The 26061-nt window shown below is 34.0% G+C and overlaps 1 protein-coding gene across 9 annotated transcripts in view; it reads left to right on the forward strand.

The window, feature by feature from the left end:
- The window catches only part of RALGPS2 (Ral GEF with PH domain and SH3 binding motif 2), a 196597-nt gene that overhangs the window by 146143 nt on the left and 24393 nt on the right, over positions 1 to 26061 (forward strand). For 6 of the 9 annotated variants that reach the window (NR_174383.1, XM_047423755.1, NM_152663.5 and 3 more), the window contains 8 exons: positions 6112 to 6249; positions 7516 to 7606; positions 12080 to 12147; positions 13690 to 13825; positions 14583 to 14734; positions 18256 to 18310; positions 20844 to 20921; positions 22533 to 22638. Coding sequence is in view for 7 of the 9 variants with exons in the window: in XM_047423755.1 (XP_047279711.1) it covers positions 6112 to 6249; positions 7516 to 7606; positions 12080 to 12147; positions 13690 to 13825; positions 14583 to 14734; positions 18256 to 18310; positions 20844 to 20921; positions 22533 to 22638 (824 nt within the window). In the remaining 2 variants the exon portion in view is untranslated. The remainder of the gene's footprint in view (positions 1 to 6111; positions 6250 to 7515; positions 7607 to 12079; positions 12148 to 13689; positions 13826 to 14582; positions 14735 to 18255; positions 18311 to 20843; positions 20922 to 22532; positions 22639 to 26061) is intronic. The other 3 variants (NR_174384.1, NM_001286247.2, XM_047423766.1) reach the window with 1 other exon arrangement.

Raw genomic sequence — 26061 nt, forward strand, 5'->3', positions numbered from 1 at the left:
TCACTTAGAAGTAGTTGCAGGCTGATGAGTTTGGTTTTTGTTAACAAAGAACAAGAGCTAGACTTTGTCAGGAGGCAGCCACCTAAATAATGTAATAAATACTCTTTATAGCCTAGAAGAATTTGTAAACATTTTACTAAGTTGCTAATGAAGGTTTTAAACTTACAAGAAACTTGATGTTGTTGTAGTATGTTATGTCTTACTGTGTAATGTGTCTTAAGATAAAACAGCCTTTATATATAATTACCAAACATAAGTGAAATTCTTTCAGATGCTTAAGACTTTTAAATATTACATTCTGGTGTTACATAATGTCATATCCTCCTATTCTACAAAATGACCTCTCCTCTCTGTAAAAGGTCATTCTTGTTATTAATTGATGTGGTGTGGTTTAAAAACAAACATAACCCTGAACTGAGTAAAAAACAAGGAAGCTCTGACTCTATGCCAGCTATGTGAACTTAGACAAATCACTTTACCTGCCTCTGGCAAGGTTCTTCTGCTATGAAATAAGGTGGTGGAAGAAATGAATAAGTGTTGAGTACAACTATACTATTGTATTTCATTAATTGAAGAAATGTTAAATAACTCAGTAGCTGAAGAAACACAAACTTAGGCTTAAGTAACTTAGCTTAGCACTTAAGTACTAAGTAGTGGAACTGGGATTTGAATCTAATGCCAAAGCATTATGCCACACTCTCTGTCATTGATTACCTAGTTGCTGTAAGCTGCTTCTAGATAAAACTTTTGGGCTTTCTCTACATACCTGTGCTTTCCCTTCCTTATTGCTGTAGCTTGTGCTGTGTTTCTCTTTCTGTTAGGCCACACTGTTGATCCACATCCTTTATTTAAAGTCTGAGCTTATTTTCTACCTCTTTCACAGAATCATTTATTTGAATTCCTATGCCATATATAGGTATACCAGAGGTTGCAAACACAAGGGCCTAGAAAGGCAAATGCTCACAAGAAGAATGGAGCAGGTAATATAAATCAGTGAAGTAAATCAGTAGTAAGATACTGGAGGGAAATGAAGTTTATGGCAAGTTGGCATCCTTTTGGTTAATTTAAAGGGATCTGCCTGCACCTTCTCAGCTGTGCTTGTGGCCATGAAGGATTATGAGACAGTGTTGCCAGATCTTCCCATTATTCAGGAAAAAAGAGCCATTTAGATTTTTCCTGTAATACTTCCTGATTTTAAAAAACATTGGGACAGATGTGCTGCCAGCTTCTGGCCTCTGATTTGTATTATGTATCGTTTCTTGAGCATTCAGTAATTATGTTGTAGTCACTAATGGCTTAAATCTGGGAAAAATAAGAGATAATAAATTCTTTCTGAGCTTTTAAACTTTCAGCAGTTTGGAGCTTTCTAACTTGAGCACTTAGTAATATCACTAGCCAGGGTAGGAAATTGGAATGACAGGTATTTAGGGACAGATTATGGTTAGATATGTTAAATTGAAAATGAAAGTCAGGAGCTCAGTTATATGGAGAGATTTGAAAGTCACCAGCAATTAGGTAGTAGCTAAAGCTATGGAACTAAGATACTAGAGAAAGTACATGTAGAATGTAAAGGAAGGTTAATGACAGACCATGATACCAATTTCCAGGAAACCAGCTTACAAGAAACATGAGGAAAAAGAAGAATGGTGGGGGCTTAGGGGGAAGATACGAAAGTTCAAGGTAGGGAAAACCTGAGAACTAGACGAGAATGGTTACAATACTGCAGAGACATTACATAGGGAGGGGAGACCAAGAGAGATGTTTTAAGACTTAGAATGAGAAAGTTATTAATGCCATTGCCAAAATAAGTGATACATACAGATTTCAGATTATTTAGTGTGTTGAAGGGTGACTAGATAAAATTTAACTGACAAATTAGTGTCCACAATACATTAAGAAATTAGAAATCCATAAGAAAAAGACAACCCAAAAGAAAAAATGAACAGAAACATTTATTACATAGAAATATATACGTTTAACCTTATTACTAATCAAGGAAATAAAAATTAAGACACAGAGAGATACCATTTTATACTCAGAAGATTGGCAAAATTGAGATGGATAATACCAATTGTTAGCACAAATGTGGATCAACAGAAGCTTATATACCGTGAGTGGGAGTATGAATTGATACAGCTTTGAAAAATAATGTGACACCATCTTGTAAAGTTGAATATTAATATACTTTAGCACTTGGCAGTTTTGCTCCTAGGCATGTTTGTATATCCTGAAGAAATTTTGTACATGTGTACTGGGAGATGTGTATAAGAATGTCTATAGCAACATGGTTGGGGGTGGGATGGGAGTAACTCAAAAGTCTATCAAATAAAATGGATGAGTTACAATTGTCACACATTAGCTTGTTCTCATTATAAGGAATTACAGCAGCATTTAACAGCGTGGACAAGTCTTAGAAACAAAATAGACGAAGCAACCACAGAAGACCATATTTTTAAATTTTATTTAATAAATGCTTATAAATCACTTGGTATGTACTAGACACTTTTTTTTTGAGACGGAGTCTTGCTCTGTCACCCAAGCGGGAGTGCAGTGGTACGATCTCGGCTCACTACAAGCTCCGCCTCCTGGGTTCTCGCCATTCTCCTGCCTCAGCCTCCCATACTAGACACTTTTCTAACATTACAAATACTATTATTTAATCCACACATACAATAAAATATGATTTTTAAAGCTCAAAAATAGGCAAAAGTAGGAATACAGACAAATGTCGGGGAAAAAATAAGGGAATGATCTTAAAGTTCAAGGTAATGGTTACTTCTGGACAGGAAGCAAGGAGATGAAGTAGAGAAGGAACATACAGATAGATGCAACAGTATTGATGATGTCGTAGTTCTTTTTTAAAGTAGTTTACCCCAACATATTAAAATATTAACATGTAACCAATAAAAAAGTTAATAGATATTTTACATTAATTTTTCATGTTAACTCTTCAAAATCTTGTCTATTTTATATTCAAATACACCTCAATTCAGAATAGACCCACGAAACAGTAGTCACATGTGGCAAGTGGTTATATTGGACAGCACAGTATAGCGAGTGACTACAGGCGAGTTGTCATCTGAGTTTAATAAGATGGAAGAATGGCAAGAACTGGCACATTAGTACCCCGCTCAAATCCCACTTCTTCCTTGAAGCTTTCTCTGATCCCATCAGCAAGGAATGACATTTTTTTGCACAGAATTCTTATGAAACTCCTGTTTAAACTTTTCTGTGCTACTTTTTTATATCTTCTATTGCTGTTATTGATGTACATATGCCAACATCCCCGTGCCATTTCCTTGAGGAATCTTTTAGCTCTCCTTAGGGATGTTGTAGTCATAAGTTGACTGGTCTTTCACAAATGTTTATTATGTTGTTTGATAACAACAAGTGTCACATGTGTTGATAATTTTTTCTTAGGGCAGGAGTCTCACCATGTTGCCCAGACTGGTCTCAAACTCCTAAGCAGTCTGCCCGCCTCAGCCTCCCGAAGTGCTGAGATTACAGGCATGAGCCACCGTTCCCGGCAATAATTTTTGTGAAATCACGATTCTCACACAAATATGAAATGAATATGTGTCAGAATTTTCATTTAAATTATTAAATTTATAAGGGAATCAAAAATGTGTCAAGGGAGAATTCAAAGTAACACACATATATGCAATCAGGAACGCTGAAGTAAATTTACAAATAGTTGCAAAATTGGTCATCACTGATTAGATCCCACTGGACATAATTCTTTGGCATGTTTATGGACAATAATTTGTATTACCAGTTTTCAACAGCTGTGCAGAGTTGTAAAATAGCTCAGAAGGACCAAATGGGTGCACTGGAGACAGGATACCCAGTAATCTTTTTTCCCATCTCAAAGTTTTTCACAATTTTCCTGACACATGTGTATCAAATATTACATTAAAAATAGAACGAAGAATAAAAGAAGTGTACTATTGTATGTTTCTCTTCCAAGGTGTTTGTTGAAGGGAGGACAAGGATGTTATCTTGAGGCGTGGGATCAGATTTGAAGGAAGAGTTGCTTAGATTTTGTTTTATAAGTAGGGGAGATTTAAACATGTATATTGGGCCAGGTGCAGTGGCTCATGCCTGTAATCCTAGCACTTTGGGAGGCTGAGGCGGGTGGATCACTTGAGACCAGGAGTTCGAGACCAGCCTGGCCAACATGGTGAAACCCCATCTCTACTAAAAATGCAAGAACTACCCAGGCGTGGTTGCGCATGCCTGTCATCTCAGCTATTCGGGTGGCTGAGGCACAAGAATCACTTGAACCCAGAAGGCAGAGGTGGCAGTGAGCCGAGATCGCACCACTGCATTCCAGCCTGTGACAGAGCAAGACTCTTTCTTGAAAAAAAAAATGGTTTAAAAAAAAATATGTATACTGGCTCTGGGGAAGGAGCCAGTAGGGGTGAATGATAGTAGAGGCAACAGTGGTTGTCTGGAAGGAGGCAGCAACGATTGCATTCAAAATTACAGTTGAGATTTCGGAAGAAGAGAGAGATGATTCTTCCTCCAAGATTGGGGAAAGTGGGAAGAACCTCAGCTTCATTTGGAACCTCAAGATTCATTTGGAGTCATAGGGAAATAAAGTTGAGGTTATCTAAAGAAAAAAAAGTATGATAGGTGACTTAAAGAATACTGTAAAGATTTACTGAGTGGAAAATGAATGATACTAGGATGAGTAAAAAGATTGCCATGCCAACCTTTTATGTTAAGCACCTATTGTCAAAACATTGCACAAGATTTTCTTTCTCTTGGAGTGCAAGATAGAGCAACTGCCTTAAATGAGTTTGCAGTCTTGAATAGATAAGATATAAATGTAAAAAAAATAAGTAATGAGATTTTGAAGTCATAAAAGTCATTAAGTGAATAGTAAGCACACATAATGTATGATTTTTTAATAGAATATAAGTAATTTTTTTTTAAATTGGGCTATAAGTGAAACGTCTGAGATCCAGCTGTCACTAACAGGTTGCATGGCATTAGACAGGTCCCTTTACTATCTATGTATTTCAGGTTCTTCATCTATAAAAGGAGAGGATTAGACTAGACAGTGTCTGAATTCCTTTCTTGGAATCTGTGAGAAAACTAGAGAATATTGACACCGAATTAGATAAGCAAAATATAAGATTTGGATAGGCAGAGATAAGTCCAGAAAACATTTTAGGTATAAGAAAAAGCTGAGTAAAAACAGGGTTTATTTAGAAGGCAGTGGGTATGTCATTTTGGTTGCATTTACCCTGAGAGTACATGAACATGAAGTAATGGGGTAAAAGTAGGAAGGTATGTTTTTCTTTTCTCTCCAGCTATAGTTGTCTAATACATTTCACATGTGCATTGTGAACTCTCCAGAAATAAACTTAAATAAGTGACCTTTCATGTTAAGGACTAGTACAACCAAATTTTAGAGGATGTGTTATTTTTGTTGGTACAAAAAGCATGGAGGGTAAGAAATAGTTAACTTCAATTTGTAGTCACATGAACCATTTCAGAAATTTATTTGTTGATCTTTAAAATGTAAAACATTTCTACCAGATTGAGATAATTTTCAAAGTAGTTAAGACTCAAATGATAGCTATCAACTCAAGGCAAGAGAGTAAAAACAAATATTAAATAATTTCCCTATGTCAGTCAGTGGCTGGGCTGCTGGCTAAATTAATATCTTCAAGTTGTAACACACCTTGGAAAATGGATACTTGCATAGGTTTTAAGTCTGAGGTTCTCAGTTTAAAATAACTCTCCATTATGAAACTAGTCAGAGGCAGAGCCAATTGAAGAACTCAGCTCCTTTCCATTAATTCCCATATGTGCTGGAGTTTCTAACTCTAGCCTCAAACTATACTTGAAAATGAAATCACAAGAAGACATTTACAAAATAGCATATTATTACAAAAAATTGGTATATGTCTGACCCCAACTGTATGGAAAGCTAGGCCCCAGTAACCATATGTTACCCAGGCTTCAGTGTATTAATAGCAATATATTTTAAATGTAGCGTACAGTGGAATATATCTATAAACAACCCCTTCCCCCCTTTTCTTTGTCATAGTCTCCCAACCTACAACTAAGAAAACGTTCATTTATCTAATTGTATTTCAGGTATCTATTTGTCAGATTTAACATACATCGATTCAGCATACCCATCAACTGGCAGCATTCTAGAAAATGAGCAAAGATCAAATTTAATGAATAATATCCTTCGAATAATTTCTGATTTACAGCAGTCTTGTGAATATGGTAAGTTTCTAGGGGATAATGCCAAGCCATTAAGATTGCTGTAATCCAGTGATTTATTTACACACACTGATGATCACTTTTCACACAGCAGGGGACATCAATTTCTTATTTCCATTCTAATGTAAAGGAAAATAATGCTTGTTTTATTTTGCCATTTACTATGTAGCATCCTGTTTAAGATCTTGCTTTTAAGGAATTTAAGTATTTAATATTTAAAATTTTTATTTTTATATTTTGCTTTTCTGCTATTTTGCAGCAACTTTCTCACAGCACAAAGGCACTAAGTATTTAATATTACTACCTCACAGCTATTTGGCCCTTTATAGCACAGCTATTTGGCCCTTTATAGTTTACAAAGTCATTTTCTAGTCATTTTCTATTATCTCATTTGATCTCCCTGATCTATTATGTAAATCGTTCTTACAGTTTTCAATTAGGGAAGTATAGCTGAGACCCTTGAGCCTCGTGACAATTGACCAACTTTCTTGAGTCAGACTATCGAGTAAATAGCCAGTTTTTGTCCAACATGTATTTTATGGAATGACAAATATAGAAACAGCTACATAAGCCCAAATGATGAGAAAAGGCATTTTTTTTAATGTTTAAATACTTCCAGTTTGATAGGAAATAAAGTTAGGCTGTTAATACATAATTTTTATGGGTTAAAAAACTGAGTTTTACATTATATGATTACTTCAAGTGAATTTATCTTAAAGCTAACTTTTGCTTCATGCATCTATACTTTTTAGAAAACCTCAAAAACTTCCTAAAACTATCAGTGTGGAGATAGAATCTTACTGAAAGTTAAATCAAATAATTCCTTATTTTGTCCTTTTCTCAGTATTTTAAACATAGCATCAAGTTGTGATGTTAAATTAATCTTGCTTGAAACTTACAAGGGGAGGAGATAAACCACATTTATAAATGGGAACCAGGTTTCTTTAAAAGAAAAGTAACTGCCTTCATGTCTTCTGTTTAGTTTAGAATAGTTCTTGATCTTTTTCTGTGAAATTTCTCAAATATATGGGACTTTATAATTGGAGCTATTAAAAAAATACAACAATCTATACAAACAATATACAACTGTAATTTTCTAAATTACCTTCAGATTCACATTAAAGTTTATCTCAGTAATGTCCTTCTAGAGTTAATTTAAATTTTGCTGCCATGTGGCCTTAATTTACCTTTAAGTTATTTTCAGCTTAATTTTTAAAGTTCTGGTTAAGATGTACTTTATCAGATAATTATTTATCACCTTTTGCCTAGATATTCCCATGTTGCCTCATGTCCAAAAATATCTCAACTCTGTTCAGTATATAGAAGAACTACAAAAATTTGTGGAAGACGATAATTACAAGTAGGTTGGATCTTCAAAAGTGGTTTGTATAACTTTGTCCTGTCCTCCACCTTTCTATCCCTATGTATTTAAACATCTAAATCCTACATGGTATCATACAAAGGACTAATCCAGTGGTTTACAGCAGTAAAGGTACTAACATGTATTACTTCTTAATCACTTGTTATGATTGAGCCAATATACAAATACCTCATCTGTTCTTTTTAATATTTTATCTCTGTTTGTAGAGAGCTAACGTTTGATAGTTCTAATTTAAATTTCTTCCTTTCCCCCATATTCAATCATTGAATCCTTATAGAATTTGTCTTTTAATAGACAGAAAAATTAATGAAACTTTTTAAAATAGAAAAATTACTCTTCTTTAATGCTAAGTATTGACACATCGTTGTTTGTTTTTCATTGTTTTTGCGGATTGAGAGACTTGGTCCATCTTGTCTCAGGAGAAGAAACCTTTCTCCAATGTAGCAGAATTATCCTCTTCCCTGTATTATAGCAAGTTCTTTATTAAAGATTTTTGAGGCCGGGCACAGTGACTCACGCCTGTAACCCCAGCACTTTGGGAGGCCGAGGCGGGTGGATCACTTGAGGTCAGGAGTTCAAGACCAGCCTGACCAATATAGTGAAACACTGTCTGTACTAAAAATACAGAATTAGCCGGGCATGGTGCATGCCTGTAATCCCAGCTGCTTGGGAGGCTGAGGCAGGAGAATCACTTGAACACAGGAGGCAGAGGTTGCAGTGAGCCGAGAGTGCACCATTGCACTCCAGCCTGGGCAAAAAGAGCAAAACTCCGTCTAAAAAAAAAAAAAAAAAAAAAGATTGTTTGAAATCATTTTTAAAATAGCTGATATCCATTTTTATCTCCTTATATCCACAGTATTTCCCAAAGATGGGAGAGGAAATTTTTAAATTATTAACCCTTTCATCTTTCGTTGATACAGTTTACATCAAAACTGCTGGGTTTTTTTTTAAGGTAGGAGGATAAAGAGCTTATTTCTCTTGAAGCTTCACTCTTTTCTTTTAGCTTCATTTGTTACTTTTTTTAAAAAGTTTATTTAGCTTTATTATCCCATTTGTTCGCAAGCTTTCAAATTGAATTTTGCACTTTCACAAATATTTTTTCCAATAAAAGGTCGTGTTTCAAAAATTTATCGAAGTGAAAGACTAGATTATTTTTCAGTGTTAATGCATTACATAGAAATATTTTTTATCTTCCTTTGGTAATGATTATTAACTTCCTTTTTCCAGATTTTGACAGTTTTTAAAAAATTTTGTAGAACAGAATTAGTCCCAGTAAATGGCTATAGAAATTCTGGAAAACATCTAGGAATAATTTTTCTAAATGCATCTAAAATTTTACTGATGTTTGAAAATGCCTTTATTGCCATCTTCTCTCTCACACCATAATAGCAACACTGTATTTCTGTACCAATTTTCAGTCTACAAAAAGTTTCTACATGGTTACTTACTTGAAAATGTATGAAGTCAATGAAGAAGCTTTTTAAGACTGGAGTTGTTTCACAAATCTGTTGCCCTAGGTTGTTTTTCAAGTTTGATGGTCTGTGTCTTATACTTACCACTATTTTTCCCTTCTCTCTAATTACTGACATAGAACTCCTACCTAATAAATACTTAAGTTTTGTCCAGTGAGATGTAGAACAGATATCTTAAAATTCAAAATGTGAGTAAGTAGCTATTAGTCATTTATCTGGCTCAAGAAACTTACTGAATTTAAAAGAATTTAAAGTTTATTAGATTGAAATGTAATCTAAGAAAATTTTGCACAGTTTATAGAGGATGGCAAATTTTTTGTGACTACTGTAAAATTATAATACAATATTTATTAAAGCTAGTTTTTACTTTGCTAAAAGGGTAGACTTAGCCAGTGAAGCCATGAGGTAGTTCTGACATTCTGTAAATTGACATATCATATAATGCCTTCATTTTTGTAGGAAAGCTAATGCTATTATACTGGTTTTTGTTTTCATGAGGAGCTAGAACCAGAGCAGCCCTTCCATTACATTGACATATATTTACTAAGGTTTTGTTATAGGCCAGTTACTGTGCTAGTTGCTGGGATTATAAAAATAAGATACTGTTCTTGCCCTCAAGAAGCTCAGTCTAATGTCAGATACATCCACAAAACAGATGATTATAAAACATTTCAAACAGAACCATAATAAAGATATGCCAAGGATGCTATGGAAACATAGATAAGGGGGGACCTAACCTAGCTTTACCTAGGAAAACTAAAAGGAAATATGAACAGCTTCAGGAGACAGCGTCATCTGAGGCTGAATCTTAACAGGTGAGTGGGAGTTAGTCTCACGTGAAGGGTAAGGAAAAGTATGCTGGGGATGGAATGATCAAAGGAATGGGATAAGAAACAGTGTCTTTGCATGGCGAACGATGAGTCATTTGGTGTTATTGGGACATCATACGGCACTAGAGAAGACATTGTTTTTCTTTTTCTTGGAGACGGAATCTCACTCTGTTTCCCAGTTTGGAGGGCAATGGCACAATCTCAGCTCACTGCAACCTCCGCCGCCTGGGGTTCAAGCAATTCTTCTGCCTCAGCCTCCCGAGTAGCTGGGATTACAGGTGCCCGCCATCATGCCCGGCTAATTTTTGTATTTTTAGTAGAGATGGGGTTTCACCATATTGGCCAGGCTGATCTTGAACTCCTGACCTCAGATGATTCACCAGCTTTGGCCTCCCAAAGTGCTAGGATTACAGGCGTGAGCCACCGCACTCACTGACAGATTGTTTTTCTAAAAATGCAGTGTGTTGCCTGAGCCTAATAATTTAGTGTGTTTGAAAAATAGAGCATTTTAAGATGTCATTAAAATTATTAGAAAAAATTAGAAGAAAACATTTTTTAGAAAAAATGCCTTTTATGATGAAAAATTTGTAAATAGAAATGGCATGTCACTTACAAAAGGCCTGTTTTGGGCAACTTCATCTACATAGGCAGCCAGTATAGATATTACAAATTACATGTCTTTTGATCAGGGTGAAAATTCTTCTGGGTGATTTTATTTTAATACTGAACATATCTGTTCTTAATGAATCAGCATCTCTATTATAATGTGGTGCTTTGACGATGTTGTAAGCAGCTGGCACTCAGACTAGCCTTCACTGCTTTTTAAAGATGCCTCTGCTTTTTATATTGCTGTCAGTTTCTAGGTGCTACCAATAGCAATGTGATTCACCCAATAAGCTCCCTTTCTGTTCCTTTCTATTTTGGTGCCATTGGGAAATGGTAGTTATTTCATTTACTACTTTTCTTTCATCCACTAGACTGTAAGCTTCAGAAGGACAGGAATACCGTGTCTGCCGTAATCTCTATTATATTCCAGTTCTGAGCACAGTGCCCAACACAAGTGTTCAGTAAATATTTGTCACATGAATGAATGCAGTATAGTTTGTAGCCTAAATAATTAAACATCTTCATAAAAAGAAAAAGTCTGGTTAATCATTTATCTATTCAATATATGCATTTTATATTATCAAATAACTGGAATATAATTAATAACCTACAGTAGATTTATCATTATAAATGCCTCTTGTATTATTCAATTATTTTTAAAATTTTAGTCAGTAGAATACTAAACAGTTTTTATTAAATTTCAGACAGACTCCGCAATATTAAGCTTCGTGTATTACACCAAAGCATTTTCTACAACTACTTTAGTGTCCTGTTTTCTGAAATAGCTTCCACTGATAGAAATCATAATCTCTTTCACTGTGAAACTCAGAACTGGATATATTATCCTAAATGAAACTTAAGTACCATATAATAAACTCTGACTTAGGACAGGGACTTACTAGGAATTTTGCAAACAACATTTTTATTTGTATAGATCTTTCTGCTGAAGAGTTCTGTCAGCTGGTTTGTTAGATGGTTAGTTTTAAATAAGGTGTTTTTAGAAATAATTTGCATAATATATTTAATAATACATATGAAAGTTTCTGAATTTAAATGTAAAGTATCAGTGTAAGCTCTAAGTTGAATCATCATTTAGTCATTCATCAAATATCTTTAAATGTGTTCCATGGTTTGGCAACTTTGGGGTAATTGGGGAGATTTTTGTGTTTTTAAATACAACTTTTTAATGTATTTTCCCTTCCTAATATTTCCTAAAATAACCATAAGATCAGCTTTGTATGAAAGAGATAAGAGACTTAACATCTTAATTAAAAATTGCCCTTGGCCAGGCTTGGTGGCTCATGCCTGTAATCCCAGCACTTTGGGAGGCCAAGATGGAAGGATCGCTTGAGCCCAGGAGTTTGAGGCTTAAGTGAGATTCCCTGTCTCTTAAAAAGAAGAAGATTGCTCTTGAAGAAAAGTATATAGGTCAGATTATTTCATAAAAATGTTTTTAGTTTTTTTGTGAGAAAATACACAACTTTAATCTTATTTTGTCAAATGTTAATTAATCATTGTATGTATTTTGTCTTTTTAAAATTCAGGCTTTCATTAAAGATAGAACCAGGGACAAGCACCCCACGTTCTGCTGCTTCCAGAGAAGATTTAGTAGGTCAGTACGTAGTTTTCTCTTGTTACCAAATCTAAATCAGATAACCTAATAAGGAAGAATATACTCCAAAGTAAATAAAAACTTAGTACATCTTATACTGCATGTAAAATTTATTTTGATATTAAAATCTGTCCTTTCTGGGTTTTTTGGTTTTTAATTTAAAAGTTGCTGGCCGGGCAGGGTGGCTCACGCCTGTAATCCCAGCACTTTGGGAGGCCGAGGCGGGCGGATCACAGGGTCAGGAGATCAAGACCATCCTGGCTAACACAGTGAAACCCCGTCTCTGCTAAAAAAATAACAAAAAAATTAGCCGGGTGTGGTGGCGGGCACCTATAGTCCCAGCTACTCAGGAGGCTGAGGCAGCAGAATGGCGTGAACCCGGGAGGCAGAGCTTGCAATGAGCCGAGATCGTGCCACTGCACTCCAGCCTGTGTGACACAGCAAGACTCCATCTCAAAAAAAAAAAATGTTGCTATAGTTTGTCAGTAGTGTACAAACAAGTATGCTACCTAATCAAGGAAAATAGATAGATGCAACAGATGGAAAATAATAGATAAGTAGTTATGAATATTCATTTTTGATTAAGAATGCACTGTCCTAGGCAATGAAGGTTGATTACACTAGAAATTTCTGTGGTCTAATGGGAAAGTCTACTAATTTGAATAATTATAGAAGTCAATTTTAGTGACGTAATTTTTTCAAATGTTCACTTTAATACTAGACCAAGTATTAAAAATGTAAAAATCATAGTTCCTTACTTTACCTGTTACATTGTAATGGGGATATTATGCATATACCACAAATAATTTTTTAAAAAACATAAAATTATCATTATTTAAGAAATCCCTGATAAGTACCTTTTTTAAAATTCCCAATATAGGCCTTCGCACTAAGTTTCATGTATATTCTAAAAATATTTGATGGCTAATCTGATAAGATGTGAAGTGGAGAAACAAACCATGACAATGTCTATGGGGAAGAATATTCCAAGCAGAAAAAACATTGCAGTTTAAATTTCTTAAATTTGCTTTTCTTTTTATTCTTAAAGTGCTGTTTTGCACTTTTATAATATTCTTTTATTTATTCCCATAAGCCTGAACAGTGTCAGTGTAGATTTAATTTCTGATTTGAGTGTTTGACCTACCCTACACATTCTTTATCTAAGAGGAAGTTGAAACTAGGAGTAAAGAAGTAATGTATAAAATTAAAAGAGCACTGAACCTAGGACTCAGAAGACCTGTGTGTTTAGTCCAGATTTTGTCTGTGATGTGAAAGCTAGTCTCTTCTAATTCTACTTCTTCCTATGTAAATGGAGAAAATATTTACACTGCCTCTACTTAGTATAAGTAAGATAAAAATTAATGGATTTTGTATGGTTTGGGATTTTGTGTTTTAGGACTTAGATATATTTCTCATCTTCAAGCCAATTAAATAGAACTAACATCAGTACTATCTCAAAATTTGAACCACATTTAATATTTTCTTTCAAGGGACTGAAAAATAAAGTAATCATTTGAAAATCTCTTTAAATTTAACCCTTAGGTCCTGAAGTAGGAGCGTCTCCACAGAGTGGACGAAAAAGTGTGGCAGCTGAAGGAGCCTTGCTCCCACAGACACCGCCATCCCCTCGGAATCTGATTCCACATGGACATAGGAAGTGCCATAGTTTGGGTTATAAGTCAGCATTTTTAATTTTATCTTTCAAATTTTTAAGTCTTTTGTAATTGGATTTATTGTCGATTTATTAGTTCAGTAGAAAATGGTATCCTTGAATAGTTTTCTTTTTTCTTAATAGCTGTTTTCTGATTCAGTAAAATGCCTTGTTTGCCTAAAAGCTTTTATTTCTTACTTTACCTGAATTTGGAAATGGGATTTTGTCAACAATGCATTTATATTTGGGGACGATAAATGAACATTACAGAGGGCCATCATAAATAAAATCAGGATAGCAATATACCTTTTTAAAAGAGTTACAACCTTTATATCAAGACAGTCATTGTTTGTCTTAACCAAAATAAGTCAAAAATAACAGCTATAAAAATTATTTTCTTTATTCCTAAATATAAAGAAAACTGACTTTTTGTTTAACTTCATTAGTTTTGCAGTATTGTTTTTTCAAAATGGGGACACATGTTCACTTTTGCCATGATTTCTCTGGAAATGTAATAACTGTTCTCCAAAAGTGAATGTGGAAACAATTTTTTAAACGGACACGAGGCTTAAAATGAAATTATTTTAAAGTATGCTCTAATTATATAGATAGATAGGGCCAGGTTTCCTAAAACATTTTCCCTAAACTGTTCATTTGAGGCTTTTATGGTAAGATCTGAGTATGACAGTTAGGTAAATCTTTTATGTCCTAAATCTTTATATAAAGAGCAGTTTTTAAATTAGTAACAATAATAAAAGATATGAACTTTTTTTTCTGTTTCTAGTTTCATTCATAAAATGAACACAGCAGAATTTAAGAGTGCAACGTTTCCAAATGCAGGACCAAGACATCTGTTAGATGATAGCGTCATGGAGCCCCATGCGCCATCTCGAGGCCAAGCTGAAAGTTCTACTCTTTCTAGTGGAATATCAATAGGTGAGAAATACTTCTCTGAGAGGGTTGCAATTTAACTTTAAATAAAAATGTTAATAAAACTTGGCTGGAAAAAAACCCCACCCACACACAGAGAAAATTTGGTTAAAAAAACAAAGTAGCAGTTAAATATGGGATGAAGTTAATAATTTGTGATGGTTTTAAAAGTGCTTGCTGTTTTTAACTCCAGAAGGGGAAGCATTTGAAGAAGGTGGAAAAAGAACATATGGGCTGGTTGAATTAGTTAACTGCATGTGATTTGGATATGGGGAGGAGGAAGAGTGTGGAGTCAAGAATGACTTCCGGTTATTTGGGTTAAACAAGTATAATAGTTAGATGATGATGCTATTACCAAGGTAGAGAAGACAGAGTAATAATCTGTGGGCAGTGAAGCGTTTGTGAATTTGGGGAATCAGGTGTGTTTTGGACATGTTTAGTCCCTATGGAGATGTCAGGTAGGTTGTTGAATATGTGAATCTGGAGCTCGGGGATAAGGTCAGATCTGAAGATATACGAGAGGTAGCATATTTATAAGCCATGATTGGTTGAGGGTACCTAAAGAGAGAGTGTACATAAATAAAAAAACATTCTCACATTTAGAAGTCTGATTATTTTTTAAAAGAAGGATGAGTCATCAAAGGAAACTAAAAAGGAGAGATCAGTGAAGTAAGGGGAAAAAAACAAAAGCCCAGTAGATGAAGTATCTCAAGGAGGAGGAAAGTACTGAATGTGTGAATATCAAATGCAGAACAAGAGAGCTAAGATGAGAATGGGGAATTGACTGGGGGATTTGGCAAGATAAAAGTCATTGGTGACCTTGATAAGAGTTGCTTCATGGAAGTGTCAGGGCATGGCCTGGATTGGAGTAGATTTGAAAATGAGAGGTGAGGAAACAGAGATAGCTACTGTGAAGGAGAGCAGAAAATAGAGACCATATTAGAAAGGGATGTGAGATTAAGAGAGGGATTTGTTTGTTTTTACTTCCTAAACTTTTAATTTTTGAGTCTTCTAGATGAGCATTATTTCTTGTTACAATTAGAAATTATTCATATAGCCTGGGCAGTGTGGCTCACACCTGTAATCCCAGCACTTTGGGAGGCCCAGATGGGCAGATCTCTTGAGGTCAGGAGTTCAAAATGAGCCTGGCCAACATGGCAAAACCCCATCTCTACTAAAAATACAAAAAGTAGCAGGGCGTGGTGGTGCATGCCTGTAATCCCAGCTACTTAGGAGGCTGAGGCATAGGAATCATTTGAACCCAGGAAACAGAGGTTGCAGCGAGCCATGTTCGCAGCACTGCACTACCCTGCCTGGATCACAGAGCGAGATTCTGTCTCAAAAAAAGAAAGAAATTGTTCATATAATAGCTACTTTTATTTTTAAAAAGAAATAAAGGAGGAATATGTCTTCATCTATGATTAACTACCAGATTGTTCAAGGACTAAGCCTATTGTTACTAATATCTTAATATTGGTAAACAGCCAGTAGAAGGAGATGCAAAAGGAGATTGATTTTCTGGAACATACTGACTTTCTTAGCCCTTGAGAGTTAAAATTAAATTATTTCAGAGCTCTCCATTACCATTCAGTAGTTGTTTATTCTGATAGTCCCCTTTTTATATAAAAATACAAGTGATTAAATGATAAAATGTTTTAAAAAGAAGGCAAGTTTGTCACCTGAAATACCTCTTATCAATGTTCTAAGTTGCCTATATGCAAATACTAATCTCAGTATGAAGAATAATTTTGCAAAAGAAAGAACTTTTTTTCAGTCAAAAATTTTCTACACGTCCATGGAATTTGGCATGCCACTTAAAGCAAAAAGTTTTTAAAATTACAGCTCTCAAGTATATAATATTTTACTCTTTCTCATAAGTGTTATAATGAGAATTATTCTGTAGTTTATAGCTTTTACTTTTCATGGATGTCCTTTTGGCTACCAAAAGATTATTGTTTAGTTATTTTATTGAGTTACAGTTAGTGTCTCAGTGTGGAGACTTTTCTCTTTTAGAGCAGATTTTTGCATTTGTGTTTATTTTTTAATTATTCTAAGGCTAAGTAAGTAAACAGTAAAAGATCATTGCATCCTAGTTTGTAAACTAAGAACATTACACATAGGCATTTACCTTCGAGGATTTTTGTTTTAAAGCTTTAACAATATGAAAAAAAGAATAAGTCTATTACCATAAGATGATAGGTGTTAATATACACACACGAGTTTTTCCCTCAGCTTTAACTTTTACATGCAATATTAATCTACAGTGAAGGCTTTGAAAATACTGTGGGAAAATTAACCAGTGCTTAGAACAATGGCCTTAAACATTTTCTAATGTGGTATCTATCCTAGATAATCTTGAGTAGTCTCACCTAGCTAACTAAGAGAAGCATATTCACTCTGAGCTTCATGCTTACATTTTCTACAAATAAGTTATCCTAATTATGCTTAAATTTTCAGTCTTTACCACATAGTGCCACAAATCAAAGGATAATGTAGATAATGTACAAGACCCCACCACCACCACGGGTTACCTCTGGTTCTTCTGAACCATACAATACAGAAAATTATTTCAGTGATTGTTATCTCAGTTTATCCAAGGATGGTACATAACTAGTGCCATTGCAAACCCGTAGAAGGGTATTAATCCATCGTCTCTAAGAGAGACGAGTCTAATGGATACCTTACAGCATCCATTACAGGTGTCTGATGGATACCTTACAGCATTAGAATTTGAGTCTCTCAGAACCCTGCCCGTAAAAAAGAGTTTGAGTCTCTCTTCTTAGAACCCTGTCTGATAGACAATTTAACTTGACCTATTAATCATCCTAATTTTTTTGAGAGCCAGAATTACCTTTAAAGTAACATTTAAGTAAACTAAGCTGTTTTGGACTCTCTAAATTCATTCCCCATAGTTTTTTTGTTGGTTTTTTTTCCCCCTAGCTAATTGTAAACGTTCTGTTTGAAGACCATTTTATTTTAACTGATCTTTTGGCCAAAGAGAAAATTGTTGCATTTTTATAGCACCGGTTTTTGGTTTTTTAAATTTAGAGATTCCATCTTCTTTGTCTCTAGAGACAAATAAGTGGATTTCATTAGGCTTTTTATACTTAGGGTAGTAATGGACTTTAATACAAAGAGAAAGGAGTATGCCATGAATCGTCAAGGATTTTATAATTATATTGGTCCTAAATTATGACAAACCTAATAAGAAATTTTGTGTTATTTTATGTTCTCTAATGGTAGGAAAAATTGTTTATTGACATAATGAATTTCAGCTACAAATAGGCAAGCAAAAATGTTTTATGCTATTTTGTTATTTTAGGTTGTCGTGTCAACTGTATTCCAATATATTGCAAAATAAACCTAACAGCAGTAATATTAGAATAAAGAATTAATATGTGGATATGTTCATCTACAATGCGATTGTCATTTTATGAGCATAGTTAATTAATTTATTTTTACATTGTGAAATGCAAACTAGAGAGGTAATTCTGATGTTTAAAAAATAGGATAACTTTTCATTTTAGGTAGCAGCGATGGTTCTGAACTAAGTGAAGAGACCTCATGGCCTGCTTTTGAAAGGTAAGATAAATTGTCCATTTGAACTACTTGGAGTTTATTTTGTCTGGGTTAAATAATATAATACAAATTTTCAGAGATAATATTTACTACATATCCCTAAGCGATTAAGTTTTCTACTGGTAAAAGAAATTAGAAGTTGATATTTAAGTTTGGATATGTAAGTAATGAGAATGAATGATAGTCTTATCTCTAAATGTTTATTTGGTGGCATGACACATGTATTTGAATTTTAATACATTTACATTTATAACTTAAAAATAATAACCGATCATCGACAAGTAACCTACTTACATATTCAAAAAATTATTTCCTTAAGTTCTGGTTCATTTAAGTAATTTTAAGGCATTTAGTGGAATGGTCAACTTTATTCTCTGCTGCTTTGTCAAGGACAAAATGATTTAATAAATTTTAAATTATACAAGTAAAGCAAGTTAAGGTTAGAATTTAAATGGTCATAAACTCAAAATTTTCAGAGTACACTTTTATACTGAAATACTCTAAGTTGTGCTCCCTTCTCCTTCCTTTGTTGCTTTAAGCTGTTAAATCTGTCATCTGCCTGTAGCAAATATCATACTATATTGAGGTCTAAGTACATATAAGATCTGAAGAATGTGACCAAACAATGCAAATAATTATTTATTAAATGTCCATTAGGATTCTTATGTTTTCACTGACCATTTCAGTTCTGCCATTTCAGACTCATAAGGTATTTGGCTTTTGACCAAAACAATTGCTCCCTTTTTTGTATATGAACTAAGTAACTAAATTTCTGAAAATGCCTATATTCATTACTCAAGCGGGTCATTTAGATTGAATGTTAAATGTCATATTAATACTGAAGTTGAAAATGTGTAATTGCATAACTCCTTATCAGTCACAATTTATAAAACAATTTTAAATTAAATTTTATTTGAAATCATAAATTTCATGCTGTTTAATTGGAAAAATAGATCCTTATTTTTTATGTGACTTCATAAAGATTTCTCACTATTATGTGATTAAGATTTTGTTTATAAGTTCTACATTGCAAAGTACTTTTGATCCTTTCTACTCTAATTATCAGTGTTCCCAACTTTTGTTCTCTTTGTTTTGCGGGATAATAATAAGTAAAAACAAATTATTTTTATTTATTTTTGCATTATTTTTCTTGCAACCTTTACTTCTGATCTGTTCATTTGGGTTTGCCTGAAATGTGAAAAACACAAGAATTGCCTTTGACATGTTGTCTGAATTTGTTCAAATTGTCTTTCCCTCTAGAAAGAACGTAAAACCATGAGAAGTTGATTATAGAGTGTACTGTAATCTTTATATTTAAAAAATATTGATTAACCAAATTGTTTTTTAGATTGCTTGACTTATGACTAACCAGAATGGTGGTGTGTTAAATAATCTGTTCTCATCCCAGCAGGTTACTTATGAAGACAGTATTTAATGATGTTACCTTCACGTCTCAAAACAATTTTTTTGCTTTATAACAGGTGTTTTGCTTTGCAGACATGTGTGGCTAAAAAAAGCTACTTTTCTTATGCCAAGTTTAAAATAGTGGGCTCTTAGAACATTTTGAGAACAGTGAAATGAATGCTGCCCAGCAAGATTCAGACATGAAATAATAGAAAGTGAATAAAGAACTAGGATATAAAGTACTACTCATGGATAGTGAACTTGAAAAATGTACTCTGAATGTTGACATACCATTTTCTGTTCTTATTTTCTAGACAGACATCAAATACATTGTCTTATTTTCTAGACAGAAATCAAATACATTGTTGTCTTTTTTTCTAGACAGACATCAAATACATTGTTTAAGTTGCTAAAATAATGCTTTTCCTTTAAAACATCATTTATCAACAGTGCTTTCGGGTTTTCCTAGGCAAAGAAGTATCAGTATTTTTATGTGTCTGTTTTTATTTTTTTTGTTTTTAACTATTATGTGCCATTTTGGATAAGTATTAACTCATCATTTTTATCATTTATTGGCTTTGTCAGTTAATGTAGAAATAATATAACGCCTATATTACTCAGTTCATTTCTTTTATTTACTATAAAGGATAAAGAGGAAAATAAAGTTTTCCTCATGAGTTTACAAGCCACATTGCTTTTAGGTGTCTTCATAGGGACATATAATAAAAATGAATTACTTATATAAATCCGGGCATCATATTTAAACTAGAATCCAAGAAGTGGTATAGAAACGTAAGAATTTTTGAAGTATTTTTGAGGTTTTTTTTTTATTATTTGGCTATAAATAGCTCTTTAATTCTTTTAGCAGATTTGTGAAAGTGAATGTATATGTAAATATATGGTGTGTACTAAATACCTCTAAGTATTTCTAGAGTCAATAGTAGAAGAAAAAATTTTTTGAAATCTATGCTGCATGCTTTAAAAAAGAAAGAGGAACAATCACATACTATCCTTTTGTAAGATTTAGAAAGCTATATTACAAGAAGAAACTATTATACTGTTCTAGGTATTGATAATGACTGTGTGAATAAAAGTATATGTAATATATACAATTTATAATGGAATCCAACAGGAACAGATTATACCATTCTCTCGGCCCGGTGACAAGAGTGGCACGAAATGGCTATCGAAGTCACATGAAGGCCAGCAGGTACAATTCCCCTGCATTCAGGGGTCACAGAACTCCCTTATGGTGTTGGTGATTGGCTTACATGGGTGTGGTCTGACGTTATTTCTTTTCTTTCTCAACTAATTGATTTAAAAACTAAACAAATTACCTAGAAAAACTTTCTTTCCAAGATCTAATATGAAGATAAATTTCAACTATTCTTTCTGATCCACAGAGCTAATTGCTAAAACTTGCATCTTAATGTTACATATTTTAAAATGCTTCCAAGTTGGTAGCCTTTAAACTGCACCAGTCTTTCTAATGCTGATAGTTTTTGAATGAACAATATAAAAATCTGCTTCTTTATTCATAAGTTGTAATCAAAGCATTTTCTTTGCTAATAAATTTATATTTGATTTGTCTTTTTAAAAAGTTTTTCAGATAAACTACAGGTCCTGAATGTAGACGAGTCTATTTCATAAAATAATCATTTGTATATTTAAATTCATATTCATTCAGTTGTTTGTCTGGTTAAACCAGGTCTCTTTTGGACTGTTATTAGCTGTGGAGGCAGATAAGGGTGGTGTATTGATTGGGAACGTGGGGTTTAGTGGTGATGGGTAATCAGTTCATAATACAACAAAATACCAAACTTCAGAAGCAAACTTTACGTCAGTTTGATGGTGTCTAATCTCCGTGCATGTACCTCCCTGAATATAAATAGCTCTAGCATGAAATTTCTACTGGTTTATAGGTTCTTAAGTCACTCTGAAGACACCTAAATAATCACAAAGGAATAAACTGGCAAACTTTAGTTTTCATTGCTCTTATAGGAATTCTGCAGCTCATGTCAAGTCACCAGTGACATTTTTGTCAGCATGTATGTTTTATTGGCTCATGTAGAAATCATTAATTATTGTATTAAACATAGGACCTTAAATCAATTAGGGAAAGATATTAAAGTGTTGGTTATTTTGTGATTTTTTTTTTTTTAAAAGATACATGAAAAGGAAATCTTGAGTTTTGGGTTTTTTCCTTTCGTGGAGAGCTATTAGGCCATAATCACTTATCCATTGACACCATTTAAATGTTATTAAAATGTATTGCAGAAAGCTAGTTTTTAAAATATATTATTATTGACTTTATTACTTCTTTCTGCTATTTTAGAATTAAATTAAGCATGTTTTCTTTTTTTTTTTTTGAGCTTGTATTTTTATTTTCAGTTTTATATATACTTAAATACTTTTAACAAATAGAATCCTCATTTTTCCTACCAGGACTTAAAGTTTCTATGTGGAAAATAAGGTTGCAACAGTGATGCAGTGTGGCATGTTAAGAAGAAGAAAACAAATCTTAAATTTTTAATTTAATATTTACTAAAGTGAATTACTGCATTCTTTCTAAATTATACTGTTCAAATATGTAATAAAGTGTGTTTTTTAACCATCTGCTGACTTTAATAACTTTCTAATCAACTTTTTGTACAGCTTATAAATTTCAAGATTAATAAACCTTTAGAATTGTCAGTGTCTTCTCAGCTCTGAATAAAGTAACAAACTTTTAAAATTAAGAATAATTACATTTTATTTAAGTACCTACTTGATGACTATTGTAGACAAAAGCTCTTATGTGTTCTTTTCTTCGTTATTATAGTTCTGCAGAATCAGAAGATTTGGCAGTACATTTATATCCAGGAGCTGTTACTATTCAAGGTGTTCTCAGGAGAAAAACTTTGTTAAAAGAAGGCAAAAAGCCTACAGTAAGATTTCATCATATTATATTTTAATACACCTCTAAAAATATGCAAATTTATAAGACTCTGTAAAAGTACTAAAACAATTAAAATAAAACCTGATTATAGTAGACTTGAAATAATATTAAATAAGGTCCTCCCCTCTTATCCTTGGGTCATCCATTCCAAGATCCCCCGGGGATGACTGAAACCTCAGATAGTACCAAACCAAATTACCATCATTTGGAACATGTTTCTGTTCATGTCTTCCATTCACAAATATAATACCTTTTCTATCTTAACTAAGCACTTAAGCCCACACAGTAACCGTAACTTTTGCAGTTTGCGATGCTATAGCAAAACTAGCATGAATTTCTTTTTCCTTCTTCACAATTTCACAGATACAAAATTTGTTCTTACCATGGATCTTAGCAACCTTAGCGTCTAATTTTTCTTTCCTTAATCCAAGAAGTTTTCTTTTCACTTAAGGAAGCAGTGGGGAGTGGGACACAAGGGTAGCACATATAGTGTGGAGACGCTGGACAAAGAAAGGGAAGATTATGTCCACAGAAGCACAGAGCAGAACTGTGTGAGATTTTATCATGTTACTCAGAACAACACATGATTTTAAAACCTGTGAATTGTTTATTTCTCAAATTTTCCAATAAATATTTTTAGACTATGGTTGCCTGTGGGTAACTGAAACCACAGATAAGAGGGAAAATATTGTACACATTTGTTTCACCATGTTTTCTTAACATAAAATGTTATTATATGTGCCATATAGATTTCTGTTAAATCATGTGTTAAGGGTGCTTAAATCCTGTACTTTTTTTTACCCCCATTATAGTTCGTATACAAAATTATTTCTTAGAGAACCCTGAAAGTATATCATGAAGAAGTATTTTAGTATTAAGTTTAGGTAAAATAGAAAATAAAGAGTAACAACCCTAAAAAATGGAATTTGATTGTGTTTTATCATTTTATTTAAATTCCTGTAATACAGTTTTGTTTTCTACATAACATAGAATCCAAATATTAAATGCTTTCCAAACCTATAACTATATTGGGGGGGGAAAAAAGGAAGATTGGTGGAACAAAGCTCTTAATATGTATCAAAGAAGTTTCTTCTTCCTCAACACCAGCATAGTAGTTTGACTACTAAGGAACAATTTTTTTCCCTTTCTCAAATTTGAAATATAAAACCTTTGATATATATTCACACTTAAAGCTTTTGAAGATATGGGGGCTTCATATAAGTAATCTTATTTTGTTGTTTATATCACAGTAAGCCAAAGGCACATACAAATCAAGAATCTCTTAGGCAGGCTAGTGAACTCAGAATTGCATGTCAGTTGAAGCATTACCATACCTTTTGTGTGCTGGATGCTAGAAATAGAGCAGTGAACAAGGTGAGGCAAAGTGTCTTCCTCCTGGATTACATTTCAGTGAGGAGAAATAGAGAATAAGGCTTTAAAATAATGTCATAGGATACAGAATGATGGGGCAAGGAGGGATGCCACCATGGCAAAACATTTGAGCTGAGATCTGAATGAGGAAGGTGAGTTAGCTGTGTGAATATCTAGAGTTCAGGAGACAAGAAGGCTTGTGTAGTTTACGCATTGAAATTGGGGAAGGTGGAGGAGATCAAGTAAGAGGCAAAAGCTGGAGTTGTTTGATGATAAATTAAACATGATGTATGAGAGAAAGAGTGAAAACAAAGATAACTTCTAGGTTTGGGGACTGAGATGGGTGTATGTTGGGGACATTTATTGAAATGGGGGGCAGGTCAGTCTTGGCCAAGTTCAGTTTGATATGCTTATTAAACATTCAAGTGGAGGTGTCATTGTGGCTGTTGAAAAAGTATGGATCATGAGGTCAGCAGAGAGGTGGCAGGGAGATAGATTTGGGAGTCATTAGCATACAGATAGATAGTATTTGAAATATGGAACTGGATGATAGATTATCTAAGAAGAAAGTATAGCTAGAGAAGAAAACAAGGTTGGAGATGGGGCTCTGTAGCATTAAAGGTCTCCCACAAAGAAGAGTATAAAGGAAAACTAAGGAACTGTTATCCCAGAAGCCTAGCAGTTACAGTACTTCAAAAAGCAAAGAGTGGCCAGCTGGGTCAGATGCTGTTAAGAGGCTGGCTATGATAAGGATAGAGGCTTTGCTAAAATTACAATCATCAGTGACCTTGATGGCCCAAAAGCCAAATGAAATGAGTTAAGTAGAAAATGGGCAAAACAGAAGAAGTAGAGGCAAGATTTAGAGACACCCTTGCAAGAAGTTATGCTGTGAAAAGGAGAAGAGAAATTGGTTGGTGTCTGGGGAGTGAGGAGATGGGTCAAAGGAGGGATTTTAAAGGTGGGAGTACTATTAAGGTTCATTTGTATAATGGTGGTAGAGGGAGAGAGATTGAGAAGCAATGGAGTTAATTGCAAAAGCAAACTTCTTTATTTTTTTTTTCTTTTTTTTTTTTTATTATACTTTAAGTTTTAGGGTACATGTGCACATTGTGCAGGTTAGTTACATATGTATACATGTGCCATGCTGGTGCGCTGCACCCACTAACTCGTCATCTAGCATTAGGTATATCTCCCGATGCTATCCCTCCCCCGACCCCACAACAGTCCCCAGAGTGTGATATTCCCCTTCCTGTGTCCATGTGATCTCATTGTTCAATTCCCACCTATGAGTGAGAATATGCGGTGTTTGGTTTTTTGTTCTTGCGATAGTTTACTGAGAATGATGATTTCCAATTTCATCCATGTCCCTACAAAGGACATGAACTCATCATTTTTTATGGCTGCATAGTATTCCATGGTGTATATGTGCCACATTTTCTTAATCCAGTCTATCATTGTTGGACATTTGGATTGGTTCCAAGTCTTTGCTATTGTGAATAATGCCGCAATAAACATACGTGTGCATGTGTCTTTATAGCAGCATGATTTATAGTCCTTTGTGTATATACCCAGTAATGGGATGGCTGGGTCAAATGGTATTTCCAGTTCTAGATCCCTGAGGAATCGCCACACTGACTTCCACAATGGTTGAATTAGTTTACAGTCCCACCAACAAATTTACAAGAAAAAAACAAACAACCCCATCAAAAAGTGGGCGAAGGACATGAACAGACACTTCTCAAAAGAAGACATTTATGCAGCCAAAAAACACATGAAAAAATGCTCATCATCACTGGCCATCAGAGAAATGCAAATCAAAACCACAATGAGATACCATCTCACACCAGTTAGAATGGCAGTCATTAAAAAGTCAGGAAACAACAGGTGCTGGAGAGGATGTGGAGAAATAGGAACACTTTTACACTGTTGGTGGGACTGTAAAGCAAACTTCTTTAAAAAGTGAGAGAGAGTTGGAATCTAGGGCATAAAAAGAGAGTTGAGTTTGCCTTTAGATAGAATCGGGGTTAACTATTCTTTTGTA

The sequence above is a fragment of the Homo sapiens genome, chromosome 1, assembly GCF_000001405.40.
Source record: "Homo sapiens chromosome 1, GRCh38.p14 Primary Assembly".
In the NCBI taxonomy this organism is placed as follows: Eukaryota; Metazoa; Chordata; class Mammalia; order Primates; family Hominidae; genus Homo; species Homo sapiens.